Source organism: Homo sapiens, chromosome 3 (genome assembly GCF_000001405.40).
Source record: "Homo sapiens chromosome 3, GRCh38.p14 Primary Assembly".
NCBI classification, from domain to species: Eukaryota; Metazoa; Chordata; class Mammalia; order Primates; family Hominidae; genus Homo; species Homo sapiens.
In genome coordinates, this window is record NC_000003.12 from 186570680 (window position 1) to 186595098 (window position 24419).

At 39.9% G+C, this 24419-nt stretch overlaps 1 protein-coding gene across 8 annotated transcripts, besides 1 other annotated feature; it reads left to right on the forward strand.

Moving 5' to 3' along the window:
- Positions 41-15114, forward strand: DNAJB11 (DnaJ heat shock protein family (Hsp40) member B11). Of its 8 annotated transcripts, NR_165640.1 has the most exons (11): positions 41-286; positions 1416-1572; positions 5161-5258; positions 6989-7121; positions 7306-7388; positions 10692-10834; positions 11316-11398; positions 12037-12094; positions 13186-13297; positions 13751-13910; positions 14665-15114. NR_165640.1 is itself a non-coding variant. In NM_016306.6 (10 exons), the coding sequence occupies exons 1-10, from the start codon at positions 219-221 to the stop codon at positions 14727-14729; spliced, it is 1077 nt and encodes a 358-aa protein (NP_057390.1). In that variant the 5' UTR covers positions 41-218; the 3' UTR covers positions 14730-15114. The 8 variants fall into 8 exon arrangements, 2 of the variants coding, with proteins under 2 accessions (NP_057390.1, NP_001365380.1); NR_165638.1 differs by lacking the exon at positions 7306-7388 and having other exon boundaries at positions 10696-10834; NR_165641.1 differs by lacking the exon at positions 7306-7388 and having other exon boundaries at positions 7021-7121.
- Positions 53-292: a silencer, noted in NCBI's record as "silent region_14987". NCBI's record gives its function as "represses an Ori minimal core promoter by ATAC-STARR-seq in GM12878 lymphoblastoid cells {active_cell/tissue: GM12878}" and the evidence as "EXISTENCE:reporter gene assay evidence [ECO:0000049][PMID:35858748]".

Below are 24419 nucleotides of genomic sequence, written 5' to 3' on the forward strand. Positions count from 1 at the left end.
GGCTCTCGCCTACCGGGGGCTTCTCTCACCGGGACTCGGGACTCCCGGGAAGTGGACCGGCAGAAGAGGGGGCTAGCTAGCTGTCTCTGCGGACCAAGGAGACCCCCGCGCCCCCCCGGTGTGAGGCGGCCTCACAGGGCCGGGTGGGCTGGCGAGCCGACGCGGCGGCGGAGGAGGCTGTGAGGAGTGTGTGGAACAGGACCCGGGACAGAGGAACCATGGCTCCGCAGAACCTGAGCACCTTTTGCCTGTTGCTGCTATACCTCATCGGGGCGGTGATTGCCGGGTGAGGAACAGACACTCGCAGACAACGGGGCCTGTGGGTCAGCCTTTGCTGGGGGGTGGGAGGGGGTGGGGGAAGTGGCATTGCCAGACTGACGGAGTGGAGAGGGGCATCGCTGTGGGTTGGCGGGGTGGCGGAGGAAGGGGTAGTATGGGCCAGGCTAGTGGGGTGAGAGGAGAACCGTGGGTGACACCAGTGAGAGGGCCTTAGGTCCAGAGAGGGTCTTAGGTAGAGCTAGATTTGCCCAGAGGAGTGGGAGTTGGATGCATTGCCAAACGGCATTTGGGGGATGAGGGAAAGAAGGTGGTTGCGAGCTGAAGCAGTGTCACGTAGAGCTGGGGAAGAAAGAGGGATGCCTGACTGTAAGGAAAGATAGTGACAGTGCCAGGCTGAGGTTGAGGGGATGGACGTTTGTTTGATCAAAGAGGTGAGTTGCTGTGCCCCGCTGAGGTGGAGAAGCGGACGATGCTCTATGCCAAGCCTTCGAAGAGCCATTCTGGGGCTGACATTAAAGTGGGTGGATGATGCCAGCCCGAGTTGGGACTGAACGAAATTGGATGCGGGATGGGAACAAGAAGATCTTTAGACAGCCCTTGTACTTCCCAGCTTCTTGAGCTATTTATTATCTTAAGTTGCTTCATCTTTAACATTCTGGCAGTGCTACTGTTAGGACATTTATGTGGCATAATCTTTTTAAAGAAGGAAAATCATCCTTTGAGAGTGTTATTTGACTTTTAGAAAAGTCAAAATCATTTGGAGCCAGTATAGGGAAAGGGGGGAAGAGTTAATTTGATTATATGGTTATTGCCTAAAGATAACATGAGACCATAAAATAAGGAAGTGGTTTTCTTGACCGAAGGTGGTTCTGAAAGAAAAGTGCCACAGATGTTTTGAATAATCCGAAAAGAAGTATATAGCCTCTTACTGTGATTACTTCAATATATAAGATTCATTACAAATTCTGGTGTTCTCTCTTTAGTCATTCTTTGTGTGTGTATGTGTCACATAAACCTTCATTTTTATACCTCTTTGCTCAGATACAAACCTAAATGTAGAGGAAAAATAAATCTTTTACTTTGAAAAATGTAACATGTAACTCTTTAATGAAGTATTCTCTCCCTCTACTTCCCAGACGAGATTTCTATAAGATCTTGGGGGTGCCTCGAAGTGCCTCTATAAAGGATATTAAAAAGGCCTATAGGAAACTAGCCCTGCAGCTTCATCCCGACCGGAACCCTGATGATCCACAAGCCCAGGAGAAATTCCAGGATCTGGGTGCTGCTTATGAGGTGAGTTGGGAAAAGTGATAAAGTACGAATAAAATCTGTAGCTCTAGAAAAAACATACAATACAGAGAAACACTCCTTTCAGCTCACATTTATTTATTTATTTATTTATTTTGAGACTGAGTCTCTATTGCCTAGGCTGGAGTGCAGTGGTGCAATCTCCGCTCACTGCAACGTCCACCTCCTGGGTTCAAGCAGTTCTCCCGCCTCAGCCTCCCAAGTAGCTGGGATTACAGGTGCATGCCACCACACCTGGCTAATTTTTGTATTTTTAGTAGAGACAGGGTTTCACCCTGTTGGCCAGGCTAGTCTTGAACTTATTATAGATTAATAAGTAGATCAACTGATTGGTCTGTCGTTCAATCAGTTTGGGAGCTAGAACCAAAAATAAAAAGAAAGCCTTCATGAGAGTTGCAAACCTGCATGTTCATATGAACTAGACAAATAACATGCAGGGCAGGTATAAGTTAAAACATGGCAGCAGATATTCTGCCTCCATATTGGGAAGCAATAAGGATTGTTGAGGACTTTGACAAACTGAAGCCTTCTGGCCCCATTTCAAGGGAGCAGCTGTTACTCAACCCCAGCCAGTTTTTGTCATACAAATGCAAACAGTATGTTCCTGGATGATTTAATTTTTCAAGAAAAGTTGAAAATCTAGATTTTTTATATGAGTTCTGCTTGTAAAAGTGTTGGTAACTAATTCAGTTAAATTTCTTTTTTACATAAATCAAACAGAGCACAGTTTTAATTTGATTTTGCAACCTCTAATCTGGGGATCAAAACACTCTCATGTGTATCATCTCATTTAATCTTCACTAGGACACCAGGAAATATATTAGAGCTAGGCATATTTTTATTCTCATTTTCTAAATGGACACAGAAAAAAATTAATTGAACTAAAAGTCATAGAGCTAAAACTCCTGAATTTAAGTTTAAATTCTTGTATATTGAGAAGGCTAAAAACAAATTGAAAAATATTTTAGGAAGACACAAACCTTGAAAGGAAGGAATCCCAAGATCTCTAGATTAAAGAAGCAATGGAATTGAAACAGTGAGTTATACCCAGGTGAACCCAAGAGCTGTTGGGGTCCTTTCATCTTTCAACACCTTCAGGGATCCTATGGGGCAGAAATTCTTTTTTATTTTTTTTTGAGACAGAGTCTCGCTCTGTCTGCCAAGCTGGAGTAGAGTGGCACGATCTCGGCTCACTGCAAGCTCCGCCTCCTGGGTTTTACGCCATTCTCCTGCCTCAGCCTCCTGAGTAGCTGGGACTACAGCTGTGCACCACCATGCCCAGCTAATTTTTTGTATTTTTAGTAGAGACAGGGTTTCACTGTGTTACCCAGGATGGTCTCGATCTCCTGACCTCATGATCCACCCGCCTCGGCTTCCCAAAGTGCTGGGATTACAGGCATGAGCCACCGTGCCTGGCCAAGGGACAGAAATTCTTAACCTGAGGCACATCAATAAACTTGGGAAGGTTAATGGCCCATCCTAAATTATATGTAATATTTTGTTTCTTGTTGATAATATGCATTCTATATTTTGCACTGTATTTTCCATGAATAGTCCCCTTGTTTGCTAGGAACCTAATACTCAAAAACATTTTCTAGGGAAGCTGAATTTACCATGCTCTCTAAAGAATCTTCACGTTCTTTATCAATGACCTAGGCAGGCTATACAAAGGTCAGTCATGAAATCGTGGCTTATTTAACTATAACAATCCTTTTAGCCACTAGTTCAAATTTCTGTTTTCTTTTTATCATTCAAGCTTGATTGCCTTTAGTCTTAGGTAAATTAGTGTTCACAAATTAGAATCCGAGTACAGTTATGAAGAATCTTTTGTGAATACAAATTTGTTTTCTCTACAGAGCTAGGATCACTGCTGGCATTTTAATTACTTGAGAATCTGTGTATTGGTTGGCCAATCAACTAAAAACCTTTTTTCTTTTAAAATAGTTTCCAAGACCATAGAATAAAATTGCATTCCTTGATGGAAGAAAAGTGAGGAGGAAGTAAATGATAATGACTTCAAGAGTAGTTTTTAGGGGGTTATTACAGAAGCCTCTGATGTCTAAAAAGAAACTGACTTAAAACTAGTCTTTGGGGGTTTTGAAATGGTGTTTTTTATAGTCTCAAATGCAGGGTTCATTTATTTGTGAAGATCAGATCAGAGAAGTAGACTAAAAGTGAAAATATTGGAGATCCAGTTAATAATAAGGGTTTTTTTTTTTTTCAAGTTAATTGTGCCCATTTCTGCTTCCCCAAAGTACCTATTTTCTAAAGATACTTGTGAAAACATGCTTTCCTCTCCCTTTTTCTTTCATAGTGGCTGTAATCAAGTACTGTGGTCACTTCTGGAATAACCCATTTGCCTTTGCTTTTAAGAATGTTCACTCTCTTGTATACTCAATTTCTATTTATCCTTTCAAGGATATCTTAAATGTTAATACATTTTTGCCATGACTCCTTACACCTCATTTGGGCCCTAAGCCAAAAATGTGTCCTGTGTGAATATGCCTTTCTTTTAAGTCAACAAGCCCCGTCTACTTTGAACCTCTCTTTTTCTGGGCCACCATGAGTGTGGTTTTGAAATAACTCTCTCCTTCAGACTCTTGTCTAAGTAGGAGTTTATAAATATCAAAGGAAGATTTTAAAGCCATTTAATTTTCACAAGTATATATGTGCATATATATCAGATTGCTCTAAATAAAAGAGAAAGTTTTTTTTTGCATGTTGAAGGCAAATTTTGAAAAGGATGGAAGCTTATTTTGTTGTTACATTCTTTAATATACAGAGAGAAAGCATATAGTCATGATTGTGTATGTAGTTCTCTGAAACTTAAAACTTCAAGAATTATTTCAAGCAATGAAATTGACCTTGAATAACCTTCATAGAGTATTTTTACTTACTACTCTTTCTGCATTTCAAACTCAGGACATTACAAACTTAAACATATATATATATGGCAGGCAAAATTCTTCCACAAATGGATTTCTGCATATACCAAAAAATGAAAAAAGGAGGATGAAAAGATATCAGTGTAGGCCTCTCTGGAGGGCCTGTCATTTGATTTCCTTGACTTGACAATCTCCTAATACATGCGCGCGCGCGCGCGTGTGTGTGTGTGTGTGTGTGTGTCTGTGTGTGTGTGTTTTGGGTAGGGGGTGTTATAGACCTGTGGGGCCAAGTTGTTCTGAAGGCAGTATAGTGGTTAACAGCATAAGCACCAAAGTCAAACTGCATGGGAAGTAAACCTGAGGAATCCGTCTTAACTCTTTCCTGTCACCACCCTGACCTTCACAGCTGCATTGCTAATCTCAGGTATTATTTTTTAGTGACTACACGAGTTTTGAGAACTTTAAATTAAAAACATGAATGGAGCAATGTGGAATGAACAGTGCATCAAAGAATTTAGTCTTAGAGAAAATAACTTTGTAAATATGCCTTAATACAGTACATAATGGAAACTGCATTCTATTAAAATTTTAGACCCACTGTCAAAGTAAAAACAAACATAAATATGACTGTGCCTTAACTGGATATTACCAACTCATGATCTTTTCCTCCACTGGCTTTTATCCCCAGGTTCTGTCAGATAGTGAGAAACGGAAACAGTACGATACTTATGGTGAAGAAGGATTAAAAGATGGTCATCAGAGCTCCCATGGAGACATTTTTTCACAGTGAGTAATTTACCCATCTGCAAAGTGTTAGTGTCTGAGAGAGGGTCACTTAGCGATTAAAGAATTATTCTCATTCCCTAGTTCAGAAACTTTTGATGAACAGTACAATTTAGCTGATCCAAAGATCAATTATTGTCCTCCCTGTGGGAAGATAGTCTTCTATTTTCACAAAGCTTCAGGAAAGACTGATGGCACTGAAAGGACATTCCATCTAGCCAACCATATCAGTTAAATCAGTGCAGACAATTCACGGGGACATGTGTTGGAAATCAGTTCATCCTTGCCTACTTGCTACCTTGCAATCTGCAAACCACTTAATGAGCAAAATTATTGTTAGCAGAGATAGAAAAATTCCTGCTCCCATACCCAGAGCTGCCTCTCTTTCGTGCTATCAACAAGTGAGGGTGATTATAATAACCAGCATTAGGGGAAGGAATTAGGGTAGAGGACCTTTATCTCTTGCTTTCTGGGAGTGCTGGGTGGTTGGAATAATAAACACTTTCTTCCTCACTCTTTGAACCTCTCTTTATTGAGCATTTGAATTTCCACATTCCCTGATGATTACATATACTAAGAGACTTTAATCTGGGGTTTCAGGTCTGAAATTATAAACAAAAAGATGTTCGAATCTGCATTTTTATGGGGAGAGTTCATTGTTTTCTTCAGATTCTCAAAGGGTTCTGTGAACCCTTCCCCAAAAGAAGTAAGAATCACTGTTGCATATAGTAGTTACCACCATTTAGTGCTTGGTTGAGGGGCCTGGGGTGGGGGAGTAGATTTTTAGGGTCTGTAAAGATGTGTGAGTAACATGATTAGGACATCTTTTCCCCCCGCCAGGATCAATTTGGCTGGCTGAAGTGATCCCTAGGGAATACCAGAAAGAGAAACAGCTTCCCCAGCCCCCACCCTGTTCTTTCCCCTTGCCTTTATTTAAGATTCAGGGAATTCATTCACCTGAGTTGGTTGGTGGGAGAGGGAGTTATATAGTTATCATCTTCGCTATGCTAATATACAAGGCTTCTTAATAACACCAAAAATTAACATTAGATTAAACCACCTGTAGGATTGAAGGTCACCTTTTTTGTTAATCTCAAGTTACTCTTGTTACTTACAAAAATTAGTTTGGGTCTTATAGAGGCTAGAACTTCCTTCTCCTTAAGCACTAGGATTTTACTAAGGCTGATGCTTTTTTAGCTTATTTAATTACATACTCAAGATTTTTGTGTAGAGCAGTAGCTTCTTTCAACAAGTTAGCTTCTAAAAAGCATGTAAAGAGAACACTACATATGTTAAAATTACCGATAAAAATTTCTTAAATTAACCATTACATTTAGCATTACACAAGTTTATGTATACTATACTCTTTCTCAATAAGTCCACCATATTCAGATTTTTCCCAATATTGAAAGATTATTATTTCATTGGTTGGGTCCAACATTGAATTCATTGGCATACTGTGTGTGTATGTACTGTACTATATGTATGGGCTATATTTTGTTAAAAAGTGGATTTTTTTGTAGTAAGGGACCGTATAGTTACAACATGGTTGATAGTATATAAATTTAAAATTATGTATGATAGTTGACTCCATTGTATTAAAAAATACCTTGTAGTTTTGCACAATGCATTGATAGAAACAATAGTTTATCAACGTAAAGAAAATGAGTTAATTGTGAAACATAGAGTCTTGATTTTTTTTTTTTTCCTGATGATTTTGCACTTATCTTTAGCTTCTTTGGGGATTTTGGTTTCATGTTTGGAGGAACCCCTCGTCAGCAAGACAGAAATATTCCAAGAGGAAGTGATATTATTGTAGATCTAGAAGTCACTTTGGAAGAAGTATATGCAGGAAATTTTGTGGAAGTAAGTTCAAACAATATAGCTGTTCATATTGACTCCCAGAACTTGCACTTTTGACTAAAAATAAGAGGTTTATATGTACCTTCTCTGTCTTTTTGAGGGTAAGAGAGAGTGATCAAATGCACAAAATTGAATTAATTATAATGCTTGGTTCATGATACACTGATGTCATTGTTTTATCACCCAGCTTAAGAACTAAGTAAAACATTACCATGACTTAATCTACCTACATGCTACTTCCCTGTTCCATTACCCTGCCTCCCTTCAAAGGTAACTACTGTATTGAGTTATGTCTTTATTGTTCTTTTGCCATTCTTACTTTATCATGTATATATGAATACCTGAATAATATATTGTTTATTATATTGTTTTTGATTTTTTAGAAATGGTATTTTATTCATTATTTTCTGGGACTGGTTATTTTCACTCACTATTATGTTACTAGGATTCACCCTTGTTGCTTATTGCTATATTGTGACCATAATTTATTAATAGGCATTTTTGTTTCTTCCAGTTTTATTCAATTCCAAACAGCGCTTTTATGAACATTTTAATCCATATTTCCAGGTTCAGATGAACAAGAATATCTCTTGGGTGGATATGCTTGAGAGTAGAATTGCTGGGTAATATGAACCAATGTTCATTTTTACAAGTTAATACTGTATTGCTTTTGAAATTGATTGTACTGATGCTTCTACATGCAATTTATGAGATCCTATAGATTCACTGCCTCACTAATACTTGGAATTATTAGACTTCTTAATTTTTGCTCATCAAATGGGTATAAAATATCTCATTATGGTCTTGTTTTACATTTTTTAAATTACCAATTAGGATCAGCATCTCTTCCTGTGTTTATTGGCCATATTTGTTTCCTCTCTTGTGAAATGCCTGTTCTTTCTTTTGCCTCTTGCTTATTGATTTCTAAGAGTACTTCACTCTTGCTGCTAATTCTTTGTTGGCTGTATGTAATGCAGATATAGGCTATCTGTTTGTAACTTGTCTTTTCATTATGTTTAAGATTTATTTCAATTTTCAGCAAACAGAACTAATTAATGTAATTAAATCTATCAGTCTTTAATGGTTAGTTTTTGTGTCTTTTTAAAGAAATTCGTTTTTGTTCTAAAATAAGAAAGCAGCCATGTGCAGTGGAGCACACTTGTAATCTCAGCTACTCAGGAGGCTGAGGTAGGAGGATTGCTTGAGGCCAGGAGTTTGAGGCTATCATGTCCTGTGATTGCATCTGTGAATAGCCACTGCACTCTAGCCTGGACAACATAACTGAAACTCATCTCTGGAAAAAAATTTTAAAATAAAATAAGAAAGCTGTTCACCTATATTTTCTGCTAAAACTCTGGGATCTTTTAATATGAGGTTATTCATCTTTTTTAAATTCTGGAAAATATGTCTCATTATTTTTTACAATTCTATCACTCCTACTTCTGTCTGCTCTTAACTTTCTTTTAAATACAAAAAATAAATTTTCTTTATCCTTCACTGCTTCCTTCTGGGAGGTACCTCATTTTGATCTCCCAGCTTACTACTTCAGTCTTCAGCTATATCCATTCTAATAATAACCCATCTGCTGTGTTTTAATTTCAACTCATATTTTTATGCATAATATTTCTACTTGATTCTTGCATTATTTCTTACTCTATATCATTTTACTAATGCCTTCCCTCCTTAAGTATTATCATGCTTGTTTTAAGTTCCTGGTCTGTCTAATCTTTTTTTAAGCAAAGTACAGTTGCTTAAAATATATGTGTTATTCAGTTTGTTGTCTTTTGTGGGGCAGATGATAGACCTTCTCAGGTATCTAGCTGTCTTGGCCTTTGAGCTGATATTCCCTTACAGGTACCAGCAACTACCTTTCCCTGCAGAGCATCATGGGCTGAGCCCTGGCCCACTGGTTTTAACTGTGTTTTGTTTGGTGTCTTGGGGTGTTTTTTGTTTTGTTTGCTGTCTGGAGTCTTTTGTTTTCTGCAGTCATGGGAAACAGTTCAAAACAGCCCTCTATCTGTGGGATTTTCTCATATATTCTGTGCTGTAGTTACTGTTTCCTGGAATCCATGTTTTCTTGTAGTTTTTCCAGGATACTGGAGGAGACAGCCGGTAGCCTGTGCATATGTGCCATCTTGACAAGAAGCGTATTCTTCTTAGTTGTAGCTGCTTCTCTGAATAATTGAAAGAAGAGATATAGACAATCACAGAAGATGCAACTGACTTGTAATACTGTTGAGGCTGCAGGAGAAAAGGGCATTAAAAATATTCATAAACCAGTGAGGTTGTTTAGATGGGAGGAAAGAGGTGAGCCTAATTAGCGCCCATGTTCCCTTCCAAGCCTGTTCTGCAGTTGTCACTAATACACAGTAGACATCACTTTTTGCTGTTAGTGTGTTCCCGAACAAACTCTTTTTTAATCCAACTATTGTAAAGGCTGTAAATGGCTTTGCTGGTTCAGTAACCCCATGCTAAATTCTTTTTTTCCTTGTTTTCAATCCTGCTCCTTCTGTATGTAAATTATTTTTTAAAGAAAAAAAAATACCTTGAGAAATAGGATAGCACAATGGTTAAGGAGCATGGACTTTGCAGCTAGACTGCCTAGTTTAGAATCCTGGCTCTGCCATGTATTAGTCATGTGGCCTTGGTCATGTTACTTAACCTTTCTATACTTCTGTTACCTCACCTGTAAAATGGGGATAATAACAGTACCTGTCTCATAGAGTTGTGAGGGTTAAATGAATATGTAAAAGTGTTTGGCACATGGCTTGGCATGTAGTAAGTGCTATAAAATGTTTGCTCTGATTACTGTTATTGTTGCTATAATTTACTCTGTTGACCTGGGCCTTTCATATGTTGGTAGGCTTTAAAGGATTTTTCTCCAAGCATTCGTCATTCTGCTGCGTGAGCACATACCTTGTGATTAGATGTTTGACTATTTAAACAGGCAAAACTAGGAATACATTTCTGCATATATATCAATTTTACATTCTTAGAGGGATCAGAATGTTTGATTGCAGTCAACTACAAAGAGATGGTCATTGTTTCTCTTCCTACATGTTAAAGTATCTGAATGGAGATAGCTCCAGAAAATAGTCCTGGATTGCATTTCCTGAAATAAGGAGACATTTTCAGTAGGTTAACCAGAGGATTGGATAGTAGCCACATACCAGGTTTTGAAGGTAGTGATTGTTCCTCAGGGGTTATGCTTTACACAGCTCGGATTTCCTAAAAGATAATCATTACATGAAGTACTTTAACTCAGTAGCATTTAGTTGTGGCTTAGAAATGCTGATATCATACACTTTATTTTTCGGTTCTCTTGTTTCTTACTCCCGTCTCTACTTCTCCAGCTTTAGAATTTGAGTCATTTAAGTATGTGTTTGCTTCATTCCTGTTTGGGGGCTGATTTGTACTCTTCAAAGAGTTTTGTCAGCTTTAGATCTCTGAGGGATAGATTGCCAGAGAAGGGGAAGTTTCAGTCCAGGCATATGTGCAGAGCCTTGATCAATTGAGGAAAGGAAAGGCTGTTTTACACAAGAGAGAAGCTGATGTTGTTTATGCACTTCCTAGGTAGTTAGAAACAAACCTGTGGCAAGGCAGGCTCCTGGCAAACGGAAGTGCAATTGTCGGCAAGAGATGCGGACCACCCAGCTGGGCCCTGGGCGCTTCCAAATGACCCAGGAGGTGGTCTGCGACGAATGCCCTAATGTCAAGTAAGTGAAAGCACCTTCTTTGTTCTACCAAGAAACACTTGTTAATTTCGTTCATCTAGTCAAACACTAATGGTCCATACTAGATCTTTCTCTGTCCCCTCCCCACTGCCATGTTCTGCAAAAGGATAGAGCAAAACAATGTACATTTTTTTCTGAAGTATTTGTAAATATCTCCTTTTATGTTTCTGAACTAACAAGCAGTGCCCTTTATTTCTGATACATTTTCAACAAGTATTAATGCTTCATTTTCTTCCTTCTTGTACTATTAGAGCAGCCTTATATGTTTATAAATGTATAGTAGCTTCACCCTGGATTTTAGCATATAGAAGATGTAAATGATTATCAGATAGTTTTGTCAAGTAGAGGCACACTACAGTCTTCCAAGAAAAAGCTCTGATAAAATAGGTATAACTTTATCTATATCTGATGTTTTGTTTATATTTTCATTATTTTTCTCCTCTTTTAATTCTCTTTACCTCAGACTAGTGAATGAAGAACGAACGCTGGAAGTAGAAATAGAGCCTGGGGTGAGAGACGGCATGGAGTACCCCTTTATTGGAGAAGGTGAAATATTGATATTTGATTTTTTGATTGTGATAACTTTTTGCTCTCTGCTTGTTTGTGAATACCTTTCACCCCTGCCTTACTCCATCTTAATGTTCACATAGTAAACGCATATATAATTTCCAACACTCTTCGGCCAATTTTAGGATATACAAAGCCTTTTGTTTACCTGAAGCAGTAGCATTACCGTTTATCCTTTGAATGTCATGGCCAAAAGTTATTATGAGGTAGCCTAAGTTTCATCAAAATTTAGGGTGTTCAGACCTTAATGAGTTTTAATTCAGCAATGAAAGAAGATATGTAACTCTAGTTGGCATTAATAAGATGCTCTCAGGACCTCACCTTTAGACTTAAGTTTAAAACTCTAAAAATAAAAAAAGCTTTAAGACTTAGGTTCAGGAGACCAGTGTATCATTCTTTGTTTAGGAAATGGGTCAAGTTATGTACTGCTGTATCTGAGGCAAAGGTGATGATTTCTAATAATCTGAAACTTGATACAACCAGGCAGAGACACTGCCGTCACAGATTTGACAGGTCAATGCCCAAAGTAGTGGATTAAAAAAATGTATCAGTTGCCAAATAGATTTGTGGTATTCAACTTGTATGATTTACAATATGCTGTAATCTGCTCTGACTAGGTGAGCCTCACGTGGATGGGGAGCCTGGAGATTTACGGTTCCGAATCAAAGTTGTCAAGTAAGTAATCTAATTTTAGAGGTCTTCTCAGATGAGTCAAATTATAGAGACGTAGGTGGCCACCAGAGCAGTTAGACTTTTTTCTCTGTTTCTTACCCTTATTACCCTAAACGATGATTTGTAACTCCTCTACAAGGCTGAAAACTTGGGGTTGGGCCCTAGGATTGAGCCCCAGTTATTTATTTACTTAGGACTTAAAAATGCAAAAGATGTTGAAAGGAAATAATTGATAAGTAAGGAGTTATAAAAGAGAAACAAACAAGATAGGGAGTCAAAGCTGAGATTTTAGCTGAAGAAGTATGGCACCATACAAGAATAGGAGACTTTTCCATAGACAGAACCTTCTACATAATATGCAGCTTCTGTAAAGAGAGCTTTTCTTTTGTGAGCTTCTCTTCAGCATGAAGTGCTGCTTAGACAGTTTTGCCTGGGACTCCAGCTTTCTTGATTACTGTTGCTCTCTTGTTACCACTTTGGAAACCAGTAATATCTCTGCCTTTGTAAGGAGTCATCAAAACAGGGTTCCCACCAGAATATGGAGAAATGGCCCCCCACTGTCTGGGACTTTGCCTTCCTGCACTCTTTAATCTCAGTGTTGTTTTCCCCAGCTTCTTTACCTACCTTGTCTTTATCATCACTTCTTAGAGAAACTGGAACATGTGTTGTTTCCTGAATAAACCTGACACCTTCCTTGTCTTTGCCAGAATTCCTTCTCACTCTATTTCCCCTTCCCTCCACCCATTTTATCTGCATTTCTACAGCCAACTTAGTCTTGTGAGCCCAGCTCAGGAAAACTTCTGTAGACCTATTTCTGAAGATGATCTCCCCAGAAGCTGCCTTTCTCTCTTTTCCATAATCTAATGATTATAGTTTTACTTATACTCTGGCTTTTGCTGATTGTGTGTTCCTTAACAGTAGCATTTAATAAGACTTAAACAACTTTATATTCTCGATTAATACTACACACAAAAGTATGTCTAAGAAATGTTTATTGTTTGAAAGAGTGGTGTTCACCTTTTTCCAAGAATTTTCTAACAACTGTTTGAACTTAAAGTTGGAAATTAATGATTTTTACCTTATTCTGTTTTTAGGCACCCAATATTTGAAAGGAGAGGAGATGATTTGTACACAAATGTGACAATCTCATTAGTTGAGTCACTGGTTGGCTTTGAGATGGATATTACTCACTTGGATGGTCACAAGGTAAACAAACCAATTTACTCGTTCTGCATCCTTTTGAAGCCTTTATGTGGGTAGTTTTGAGATGTATCAGCTGTTTCAGTCATTGAGAACCAGATGGACTCCTTTCTTGGTCGTATTCTGCCGTCTGTACTTACTCTGCTGCTGAGCATACTGCAATAACAGTGCCAGACCTTTCAGCTACTCAGAATGGATTGCACGGCCTTTGACAATCTTGTCCTTATAGTTTCTATTGACGAAAACCTTTCTTTGTTTACTTGTTTTTGTGTTTGATTTTTCTTCTTTAAAATCCTTTGTTCTTGACTCACATTGTCTTAATGGTATTTCCTTTGCTCCTTCATTCTTTCTTTTTGCTGAGCTGTGACATTAGCTTTGTGTACCAGTGCTCACTAGAAGCTGTGTGATGTACTTCAGATGTACCGCTCCTGCTGCAGTACATTCCCTTTGGTTTTCTAGGTACATATTTCCCGGGATAAGATCACCAGGCCAGGAGCGAAGCTATGGAAGAAAGGGGAAGGGCTCCCCAACTTTGACAACAACAATATCAAGGGCTCTTTGATAATCACTTTTGATGTGGATTTTCCAAAAGAACAGTTAACAGAGGAAGCGAGAGAAGGTATGGCATATTAGTGTGTGTGTGTGTGTGTGTTTGTGTGTGTGTATGTGTGTGTGTGTGAGATGAGAAAAGGATGGCAATAGAAGAACTCTCCAGTGACATGAGACATCAATCATTAATGCTAGTAGAACACTAAGGAATGAACTCATCTTTCTCTGTAAAGGCGATATATTAAAAATCCTGCATCTTTGTGTTACAAAAGTCTATGTAAGCTGTGCTTCAAAACCTAGGGAGTGATAGAGTATATGGGAGTGAAACAGAATCACTTAAAACAAATGAACTGGACCACACTGTAAAAGGGAAGATGAGGTAGACTGTAGAAAGATTAGAAGCTTATGGGTGCATGTCTAGGATGACTGGTTGAGAAGAGGGCCCCACTGGGGGTCCTAAATAGTAAGAGAAAGGAGAGCAATGAAGGAGGTAAAAACTGAAAAGAGGATACAGAAGAAGGAATGGAAGACTGAGCTGAAGAGTTTTCTTTCCCTTTTGATTGCCTCTTCTCATTCCTCATTTCATAGAGCTTTGTGGGACATGTATGTGGTATGTGGGCCTAAAAGACAAGGGATCATCCTGGACACACATGTGCATGTGTGGGGTTACCTACATGCAATTACGTTGGAGATTGGTAGTTATTTAATTCACATCCATGTTTGTCATAAGGCCTTTTATGAGCTTTTTCTTGAAATATGCTCTTTAAACGCTAGGAAAGTAACATTTTTTTGTTAATGGAGTCATTTGTTCATTCTTTCTTCAGGTATCAAACAGCTACTGAAACAAGGGTCAGTGCAGAAGGTATACAATGGACTGCAAGGATATTGAGAGTGAATAAAATTGGACTTTGTTTAAAATAAGTGAATAAGCGATATTTATTATCTGCAAGGTTTTTTTGTGTGTGTTTTTGTTTTTATTTTCAATATGCAAGTTAGGCTTAATTTTTTTATCTAATGATCATCATGAAATGAATAAGAGGGCTTAAGAATTTGTCCATTTGCATTCGGAAAAGAATGACCAGCAAAAGGTTTACTAATACCTCTCCCTTTGGGGATTTAATGTCTGGTGCTGCCGCCTGAGTTTCAAGAATTAAAGCTGCAAGAGGACTCCAGGAGCAAAAGAAACACAATATAGAGGGTTGGAGTTGTTAGCAATTTCATTCAAAATGCCAACTGGAGAAGTCTGTTTTTAAATACATTTTGTTGTTATTTTTTTCATGACTCCTGTTTCTTCTGTGAGCTATTTGGGTTGTCCTCCCATCAAGCAAGATGGATGCACACGCATGCAAAAGAGTGATATAGATCCAGTCCCCATGCCCAATTACACATACGGCATCTGCTAGAAAGGAGCTTGGAAGAAACTGAATGGTTGATTGGGGTCCATGAATGAAGGTTACACAAAGATCTAATTGTCCTTGAAGTATATTTTCTCTCATTTAATTTGGGAATAATAATCTGATATGGACACTTTACTGTTTAGAAAGCACCTTTCATGTATATAATTTCAGTTGACCTCATGGTTAGAAAGCCTTTGGTTTGTTTAGGAACAAGGACTACCACTGGTTCTAGAAAAGGAATTTAGAGTTGCAAATTATGTTTGCTCATCTCATGGCACCCAATTCAGATGCTATGTGACGAGTACATTTGACTTTTGAATCTCCCTCATTTTCACATATATAGTCACATCACACTCTACTTTTCATGTACTTTGGACTTTTTGTCTCTGCTAGTGAGTATTTCAATTCTGTTTAACAACTGATGTTGCGTATTGTGTGTGGAGCTGCCTTCTAGCCATCAGCATAGTTCTAGCAGCATCCCTGCCTTTGGGCTATACATACCTTAGAAATCACCAGGCGTGGTGGCTCACACCTATAATCCCAGCACTTTGGGAGGCCGAGGCGGGTAGATCACGAGGTCAGGAATTCAGGATCAGCCTGGCCAACAGGGTGAAACCCCGTCTCTACTAAAAATGCAAAAATTAGCCGGCCACGGTGGTGGGCGCCTGCAATTCCAGCTACTCAGGAGGCTGAGGCAGGAGAATTGCTTGAACCTGGGAGGTGGAGGTTGCAGTGAGGGGAGATCGTGCCACTGCACTCCAGCCTGGGTGACAGAGCAAGACTCCATCTCTAAAAAAACAAAAAATCAAGTGAAACCACACAAATACGTATGTAAGTTTAGTGGACTTTTTGTACCTGTAAGATTCATTATGTACTGAATTGCCTCTAGTTGAGCATTTCTCAGGAGTGATCATCATTTCCTTTATATATCAGCCCCGGAGAAGTCTTGATCATTATTTGCACTTACTAATCCCCATTTTTCCAAGATGTATGCAAGGGTCAGTCATGATACTAAGAGCTAGAGCTGCTAGTCTTGGTGAGAAAGACCCCATAGGGATAATGTGTTTCCTACAAAGAAGAATGTTAATGGGGCTTTGTCACTCCTGGGCTTTGTCACTCCTTTTTATCCATTGTCTAGATTGTCGTGATTTAATAAGTTAAAGAATATTCTTTCATTATTGGACTCTGAGCTTCAGGTAGCTTTAAGTGCTTTATCTGAGGCACATTGTAATTTGGAAAGATTTATATTAAAATTCCATAGATTTTCTTAAGAAGGGAAGATAAACACCATAGAGGAAGGATGCTAGGTAATTAATGTGGAAGAACAGATAATAGTGTCTTCAGTTCTGCAAGGAAAAAAGCCATTCCAGGGAGCTATGCAATGAGGCTGAAAGGATGCTTGGCCTGGAATCAGATTTAATTTCTATGACTGAGGAAGCTTGTTAGCCTCAGTTTTCTCATCTGCAAAATGGAGATAATGAAGGGGGATATTTTTGTGCTTGGTCTTTTATGCATCTTAAACATCTTTTTGGGCTACTCAGAGATTTATTCACTTACATATACTCCTGCCCCTTAGCTGCATTCACTATTGGTTAGGTGCTGGATTGCCAAATCCTAGATGGATGTTAGTGCTCAGAAATCACTGAAAAGGGAACAGGATTTGGAAACTTAAAACCTGTTTGAAAAGGTCCAATGGGTGTTACTAGAAATGGGAATGGAAAGATAATTTTATTCTATTCCTTGAAAAAAAGCTGCTGTTGGCTCCAGTAGCAACCTTTACCATGAACAAAAGATATCCAAGGGCTCTGAAAGATAAGCAAGAGAAGAAGACACCACTTGGTAAGTGTTCACTTTTTAAAATTCTAGTATTTTAGTCACTGAAATTGCTCCAGGACTCACAGTGAAGGGTTGGACACAGGTCACAGGCAGTGGGCACCAGTACAGCTTCCGTCATGAGTTTAGATGTCAAAGAGCCCCGACCCTTTCTTATTCCATTAACAGAAATGAAATATTTCTGAGTGGTATAACTTTAAGCACAGTTCCTCCAACAATGCAGCCAGCCTGAGAATGACATAATTTGGGGGCAGTCTCATCACACTGAGTGTCAGTGAAAACCCTCTAGAGCTGCATAGTCCAATCTGGTAGCCACATGTGGCAATTGAGCACTTGAAATGTGGCTCATCCAAACAGAGGTGCTATGAAGCATAAAATACACACTGGATTTTGAAGACTTAGTATAAAAAAAAAGTAAAATGTCTCAATTTTATATTGACTACATGTTTAAATGATAGCATTTTGAATATAACTGGTGAAATAAAATAGATTATTAAAAACAATATATTACTAAAATTCACCTGAGTTTTTTTCACTTTTTAGAATTTGGCTAATAGGAAATTTTAATTACGTATGTAGTTCACATTATATTTCTGTGGATTGCACTGCTCTAAGAGTCTCGCCCAGGCTGTGCCAGGTCACTCAACAGAAGTTGACTAGTACTTTGGGATAAAGGGCCTCATATTTACTCCTATTCAGTTACCTCCCCCTCACTCAGTTGGCCCAGTGGTCCAGTCTGTTACCATGTTTTGGGATCCTCCAATTCAGGCATTCAGTATGAGCCTCTCCACCTGATGTTATCTGTGCACTGTATTGACTGAGACATAAGATTTTCATCTAAACAGTGAATAAAAGCACTAGCCAAAGAATTGAAGTCAACTCTTAGTTAGATTTTGCCACTGAAAGCTTGCTCCAGGTTGACAATCATCTGAACATCAGGGTAAAGTCGTATCAACCTCCATAAGAATAATTGATTTTGCATCTAGCCATATTTCTTTATCTTGTCCACACAGGTATGCTGAGAGATCTTGTTGAAATCCAGTTAGACAACAGCCTGTTAGGAAATGAGGTGTGTCTGTTATGACACTCTTCGTGAGCCCATACTGGGGCCTAGGGATCTTCACTTTCACATTTAGGTGATTTTCTCAGTATTCTGGAATTGTCTCCAGTCCAGAAGACAGGATTTCCTTCAAAGAAAGTGTTTCTTATCATCAATCACCTCTTCCCTCTTGGACTTCCATTTCCTCTTACTGATGTTCACTTTACCCTTTTATATTGAAAACATCATTTTTTGACAGAATATAGAAACAAAACGGGAGGTTTTATGTACCATAGTGTTACCATGTGCATGCTCTAGAATCACACTGATCAGATTCAAATTCCAGTTCTACCATTTACTAGTTGTGCCTTAATTTCTCCCTCTGTAAAATGGTGATAATAACAGTACATGTTTCATAGAGTTGTTGGTTGATTTGACATTTACAACTGGAATGCCTCTCTTGGGATAGGCAGTTCAAAAAGAACAAGTTAATAATATATGTTGCACAACTGAGGTTTGGGAGGCTTATGATTTTTTAAAATTTTCCTTCCCTCTGCAATGCATGATGTTTGTGTGAAGGTGGCGCTAAAATAATGCCGTGAGAGCTATCGGCTCTGGAGCCCCAGACCTGTTTTTTTTTTTTTTTTTTTAAGCCATTTTCTAGCTCTTGCCACTAAAAATCAGGATATTAAGTAAAACAATAATAATTATAATTTTCAATGCAAACTCAAATAATAATGCATTTAACTACCCTCCTCTTTTAGTCTCCCTTAATCTTAACGTAGACAAGGCAGATGCCATACAGGCTGGATTTTGATTTGGAGCCTGATTCTGCCAAATAATAATAATAATAAATTAAAGGATGGTTTCCGAGAATTAGTAACAGTTATGGAAGCCACTGCAAGGGGCCAAATTAGGTGATTAAGAACAAGGCCGAGCACGGTGGCTCATGCCTGTAATCCCAACACTTTGGAAGGCCGAGGCAGGCGGATCCCCTGAGGTCAGGAGTTCGAGACCCGCCTGGCCAACATGATGAAACCCCATCTCTACTAAAGATACAAAAATTAGCCAGGTGTGGTGGCACATGCCTGTAATCTCAGATACTTGAGAGGCTGAGGCAGGAGAATCACTTGAACGTGGGAGGCAGAGGTTGCAGTGAGCCAAGATTGCGCCACCACTGCATTCCAGCCTGGGTAACACACCGAGACTCCATCTCAAAAAAAAAAAAAAAAAAGCAATCATGTAATTAAGTCTTCTGTGTTTTCTACCAGTTAGGTAACATTAAACCAGAACAGGAAATGTGATAATGTTTTCAGCAAGGTGTTTGATGATTCATCTTGTGATATCCCCTGGAGATAAAATAGAGGCACATAGTTGGATTCATAACTCACTAGTTACTGTTGAACATACTGTTGATTAATGGCTCAATGTCAACCTGTAAAGGAGAGAAGAGAGTCTTTGCTGGCACAAAACAAAGCTATGTTTTCAGTCCTGATCTGTTCAATAGTTTTATTGTCAGTGAGCATTTCAGGAAGAGCACTTAAAACACCAGGTGCCTACTGTGTGTAAGTCACAGAGTTTTCACAGCTCTTATATGTTTGTCATTGCAATAAGTCCTAGGAAGGGGCAGGACGCATTAAAACTGACCAGATAAGCTTTTGGCTGTTGTACAATGTTTCAAGTGGGAAAAAGCAACTTAACCTGTAAGAACAGGGTTGGGGTACACCAGCTTCATCAACAGCATTGAGAGGGAAGCATGATTTGACAGTAATGCTATCACGGTGTCATTTGAATTGATGTCCCCCAACATAATCACAAAGGGTCTTGCACTTTGTGGGCAGAGTAACTGTAACAAAATAGAGTCAGTAGAACAAAAAGTATAACCACCAGGGCCATTATAAGAAGCTGTAAGTCTTCGAAATATGAGTTAAATGCCTCTGTGTTTTCTGGTAAAGAAATGTTGACATTGGTGGGAGCAAAGGTCTTCCTCTAATTCTCAGCAACTGGTAGAGAAGAAAAGCAAGGGCATCACAAGAAGCAAGGGGAGAACGTAATGATAACACAAGGGTGGTGTCCTGGTTACTCTTGTCATTGTCATATAACAAATTATCCTAGCATTTACTGGCTTAACGCAGCAACATTTGTTTTTTTCTCACAAATCTGCAATATGAGCTAGACTGATGGAGACAACTCCTTTGCTCTACTTGGTGTCAGCTGGGACAACAGCTTGAAGGCTGGGTCTGGAGTCATTTCTACTCACATGTCTGACAGTTCATTCTGGGAGGTGGGAGGACTCAAGCAGCTGGGAACTGGAAATGGGGAGACTCCTCACGAATCTTTATCTCTGTGTGGTTTCTGCAGCATGGTGGCTATACATAGCTGGACTTCTTACATATTGGCTCAGGGCTCCCAAGACACGTTTCCCAAAAGGAAGTGGAAATGGGTAGAAGCTTTAGTTCTTCTTATGACTTAGCCTCATAAGTCGTGCAGCATCCTTTCCATCGCATTTTCATTTATGGAGGCAGCCACAAAGGCTCATCCCTCTTCCTGGGGAGGGGAATTAGACTGGACCTTTCAAGAAAAGAATCTTTAAGGTTCTGAAGGATATGTAGACCTGCAAATATTGTTGTGGCCATTTTTTGGAAAATACAGTTTGCCCCAGGTGATCAAATGAGACAGCCATACAATTAGCAGCTGAGACTGTGGAACATCAGAACAGCCATGGAGGGGCCACATAGTGCTCACAAAAGGCAAGTGAATTCAGAAAGAATGAGGTGACCATTTGCAAGTCCATGAGTACCAACCCCTATCCCTGCCATCAAGGAAGGAAAGCATTCTCGCAGCTGGAGTTTCAGGGATGAGATCTGAGCAAATGTCACACCATTCTGGCCCCTAGGATTATCCCTTTCTCTGCTGGGGTGCCTGGGAAATGTGGATTACACATCGGTGATATTAATGAGAACATGAGAGATGCTGATCTATGGACACTCGAAACTGAGAGGAATGTCAAATGACAGATCTGGTTTCTCACTATAGCTGCCAACACCTCTCAGATCCCAGTTCCAGAAAAAGAGGACAACTATCTGTTTTTTTAAACCTAATAGTATGAGAAAAGTCTCTTCAAGTAAATTGTATCTTCTACTACTCTACAGGACTCAACATAATCATCACTGAATTTATTTCTTCTGATTGCCAGGCACTGTGCTAGGTGCTGGGATATATAAGAGAGCTTTTTAACATAAAACGCACACACCTAATTAGCCAGCAAGCAAGACAAACAAAGGCTGAATCACTGGCCAGTAAGAAATCTTAAATATGTTAGTTAAACATGGAAAGTTGAGTTCATTTACCACAGAAAGAACACTTACAATTAAATTATGACAATGGCCGGGCGCGGTGGCTCATGCCTGTAATCTCAGCACTTTGGGAGGCCAAGGCGGGCGGATCATGAGGTCAGGAGTTTGAGACCAGCCCGACCAACATGGTGAAACCCCATCTCTACTAAAGATACAAAAATTAGCTGGGCACGGTGGTGCATGCCTGTAATCCCAGCTACTCAGGAGGCTGAGGCAGGGGAATCACTTGAACCCGGGAGGCGGAGGTTGCAGTGAGCCGAGATCACGAGATCACGCCACTGCACTCCAGCCTGGGCAAGAGACCGGGACTCTGTCTCAAAAACAAACAAACAAAAAAATGACAGTAAAACATGTTTCAACAGTCTATGCAATAAACAGAGAAGGAGGCCACACTCTGCATTGCCTGCATTATCCATCACAGGATTTTTGCCCTGGGCCTCACAAGCCCAGTCTGTTGATGAGCAAGTGGTTAAAGCTATGTCCCCTTCATGTGTGGCCATTGCCTTTGTAGGGGGCATTTTGAAGACATTGAAGAAGAACGTAAAGGATTCCTCGATTTTTGATCCACTTAGATGGTAAAACTGTAGATAATGAAAGAGATTTTAGAACTCAGAACAAGACCTTTGAGAAATTCTCTGTGAAGCCCATAAGAACAACCTAAAAATAGGCATTTCTACTTGCTATGGTTTGAATTTTAGCCCCCTCCAAAACTCATGTTGAAAATCCCCGATGTGGCAGTATTGAGAGGGGGAGCTTTTAAGAGGCGATTGGATCATGAGGTGATTGCCTTTGTGAATGGATTAATCTACTCATGGACCAGTGAATCAATAGGGTTGTTGGCTTTTATGAAGAGAAAGAGAGGCCTGAACTAGCATGCTCAGCCCCCTCACCATGTGATGCCCTGCACCATCTGGGGAGTCTGCAGTGTCCTCACCAACAGGAAGGCCCTCGCCAGATCTGGCCTCTTGAACTTGCACTTCTCAGCCTCCATAACTGTAAGAAATACATTTTTTTATTTATAAATTATTCAGTTCCAGATATTCTGTTACAAGCAACAGAAAACAGACCAAGACACTTTTTTTTTTCTCAGCTCATTGCAACCTCTGCCTCCTAAGTTCAAGGGATTCTCCTGCCTCAGGCTCCTGAGTAGCTGGGATTACAGGCACCCACCACCATGCCCGCCTAATTTTTATATTTTTAGTAGAGACAGGGTTTTGCTATGTTGGCCAGGCTGGTCTTGAACTCCTGACCTCAGGTGATCTGCCTGCCTTGGCCTCCCAAAGTGCTGGGATTACAGGTGTGAGCCACCTTGCCCAGCCCCAAGACACTATTGATGTGATATTTGAAGGCACTGAACTTGAAACTCTAGGGAAGAACTCAAACCAGCTCATCTGAGCATGTATGTGCATACAGAGAATTTGATCAAGGAAGGTAATGCAAAACTGAGCTGTCACAAACTATCACAGTACGTGGTTTCTAAAATTTATTTCTATGGTGGCCTTTGAAGCACAAACCTTAGGAATTTTCAAGCCCAGACTTTTATCAGCATGGCTCACTTCTGAGAGGAACTGGCTGAGCTGAGAAGTAGCCATAGGCTACCAGCCCTGAGTGTGGTGTCTCTGGAATTCTGGTGATATGAATCCCACATGAATATGAATCCCAGAATGATAATAAAATTTTGGACACTGTGGCCAAACCGTGGATAATTCCTGGATCCACTCAGTGCACAGATATCATGTTGTCTTTTATTTAACTCTTGCTATAGAAACTGAGAGCCCCCTCAATTACATAGACCTAGGTCCAGGAAGGAAACACACTTAATTGACACACCGCACAGTTGTCCAGAAAGCAGTATGTGAAACTGCAGTCTTCTCATTGGTTTGCTCAAACATGATTGTGCTTAGCTCCGAGTCTACAGTTCTAAGTCCAAGTGCTGGCTCTGCGGTGAGACTGGATTTAAATCCCTTCTCTTCCAATTATTAGCTCCATGACCTTGAACAAGTATGACAACCTCTCTGAGCCTCCTCACCCAACTCATATTGTGAAGATTGAACAATATGATATATTTAAAGTACCTGGTATGTAACAAGCACTCATTAAATATTAGGTATTATTACTGTTATATAATAAATGTGACTAAACTTTTTGAACCAATTTGCATCTCTGTTAAGACATATTTTTGAAACACTAACAAATTTCCCCAATGTCAAACAGTGTAAAACATTCATTGACCTGCACAGGTGTGGATTTCTGACCCCGTGACACCCTTTCCTTGGGAAAAAACCAAGAATGTCTCCGCTGAAGAATATCTGCAGAGAATACATGGAAACCAATCCTACATTCTCAGCCTGCTCTAGGCCCAGAAAAACAGAAACTGCTATGAGGGCTATTACTAAACATGGAAAGAGGGAAAGATAAAACAGCCACAGAGCCTCGGGAGAAATGAGAGCAGACATCTCAGGAGCTGGCCTGAGACACGCCACCTGGCAGAGTGTTTGTATAGCAGGAAGCCTCAGACCTCTGACCTTCACTGCTAGAGATCTGGCAGTCCAGAGTTACAGCGCTTGGTGTGACCCATTGCCTTTCCCCACCAGCACTAGGGTAACCAGATCATCTCTGTTTGCCTGGGACTTTTTCTGTTTTAGCACTGAAAGTCCCATGTCCCAGAAACTTCTCAGTCCCAGACAAACCTGGACAGTTGATCCTTCTAAGCCCCAGCATGAAAGGTGCTGCTTGCATGGAAGCCCATGCAGCTCACGTCATTCAGAACTGTTATGAGCAAGTGCAGAGTGATGGCTGAAGGCACAGGAGGGGCTAGAGCTAGGCTGAGTTCTGAGACTGTCTCATGAAGGAGGAACTCATGAGAGCTGTGCATGGAGACCAGGTCGGGCTGCACCATAGCACAACTGTCACCCGGGTGAACACGTGCCAGGGGAGGGCCAGACCAAGGCAGA

What these genes read in the sequence shown, in the direction of transcription:
- DNAJB11 (NM_016306.6), top strand. Translation starts at nt 219, where the DNA reads ATGGCTCCGCAGAACCTGAGCACCTTTTGCCTGTTGCTGCTATACCTC. An exon ending in CATGGAGACATTTTTTCACA is followed by an intron (nt 5,259 to 6,988) that starts GTGAGTAATTTA and finishes ACTTATCTTTAG; the next exon opens with CTTCTTTGGGGATTTTGGTT. An exon ending in TTCCGAATCAAAGTTGTCAA is followed by an intron (nt 12,095 to 13,185) that starts GTAAGTAATCTA and finishes TTCTGTTTTTAG; the next exon opens with GCACCCAATATTTGAAAGGA.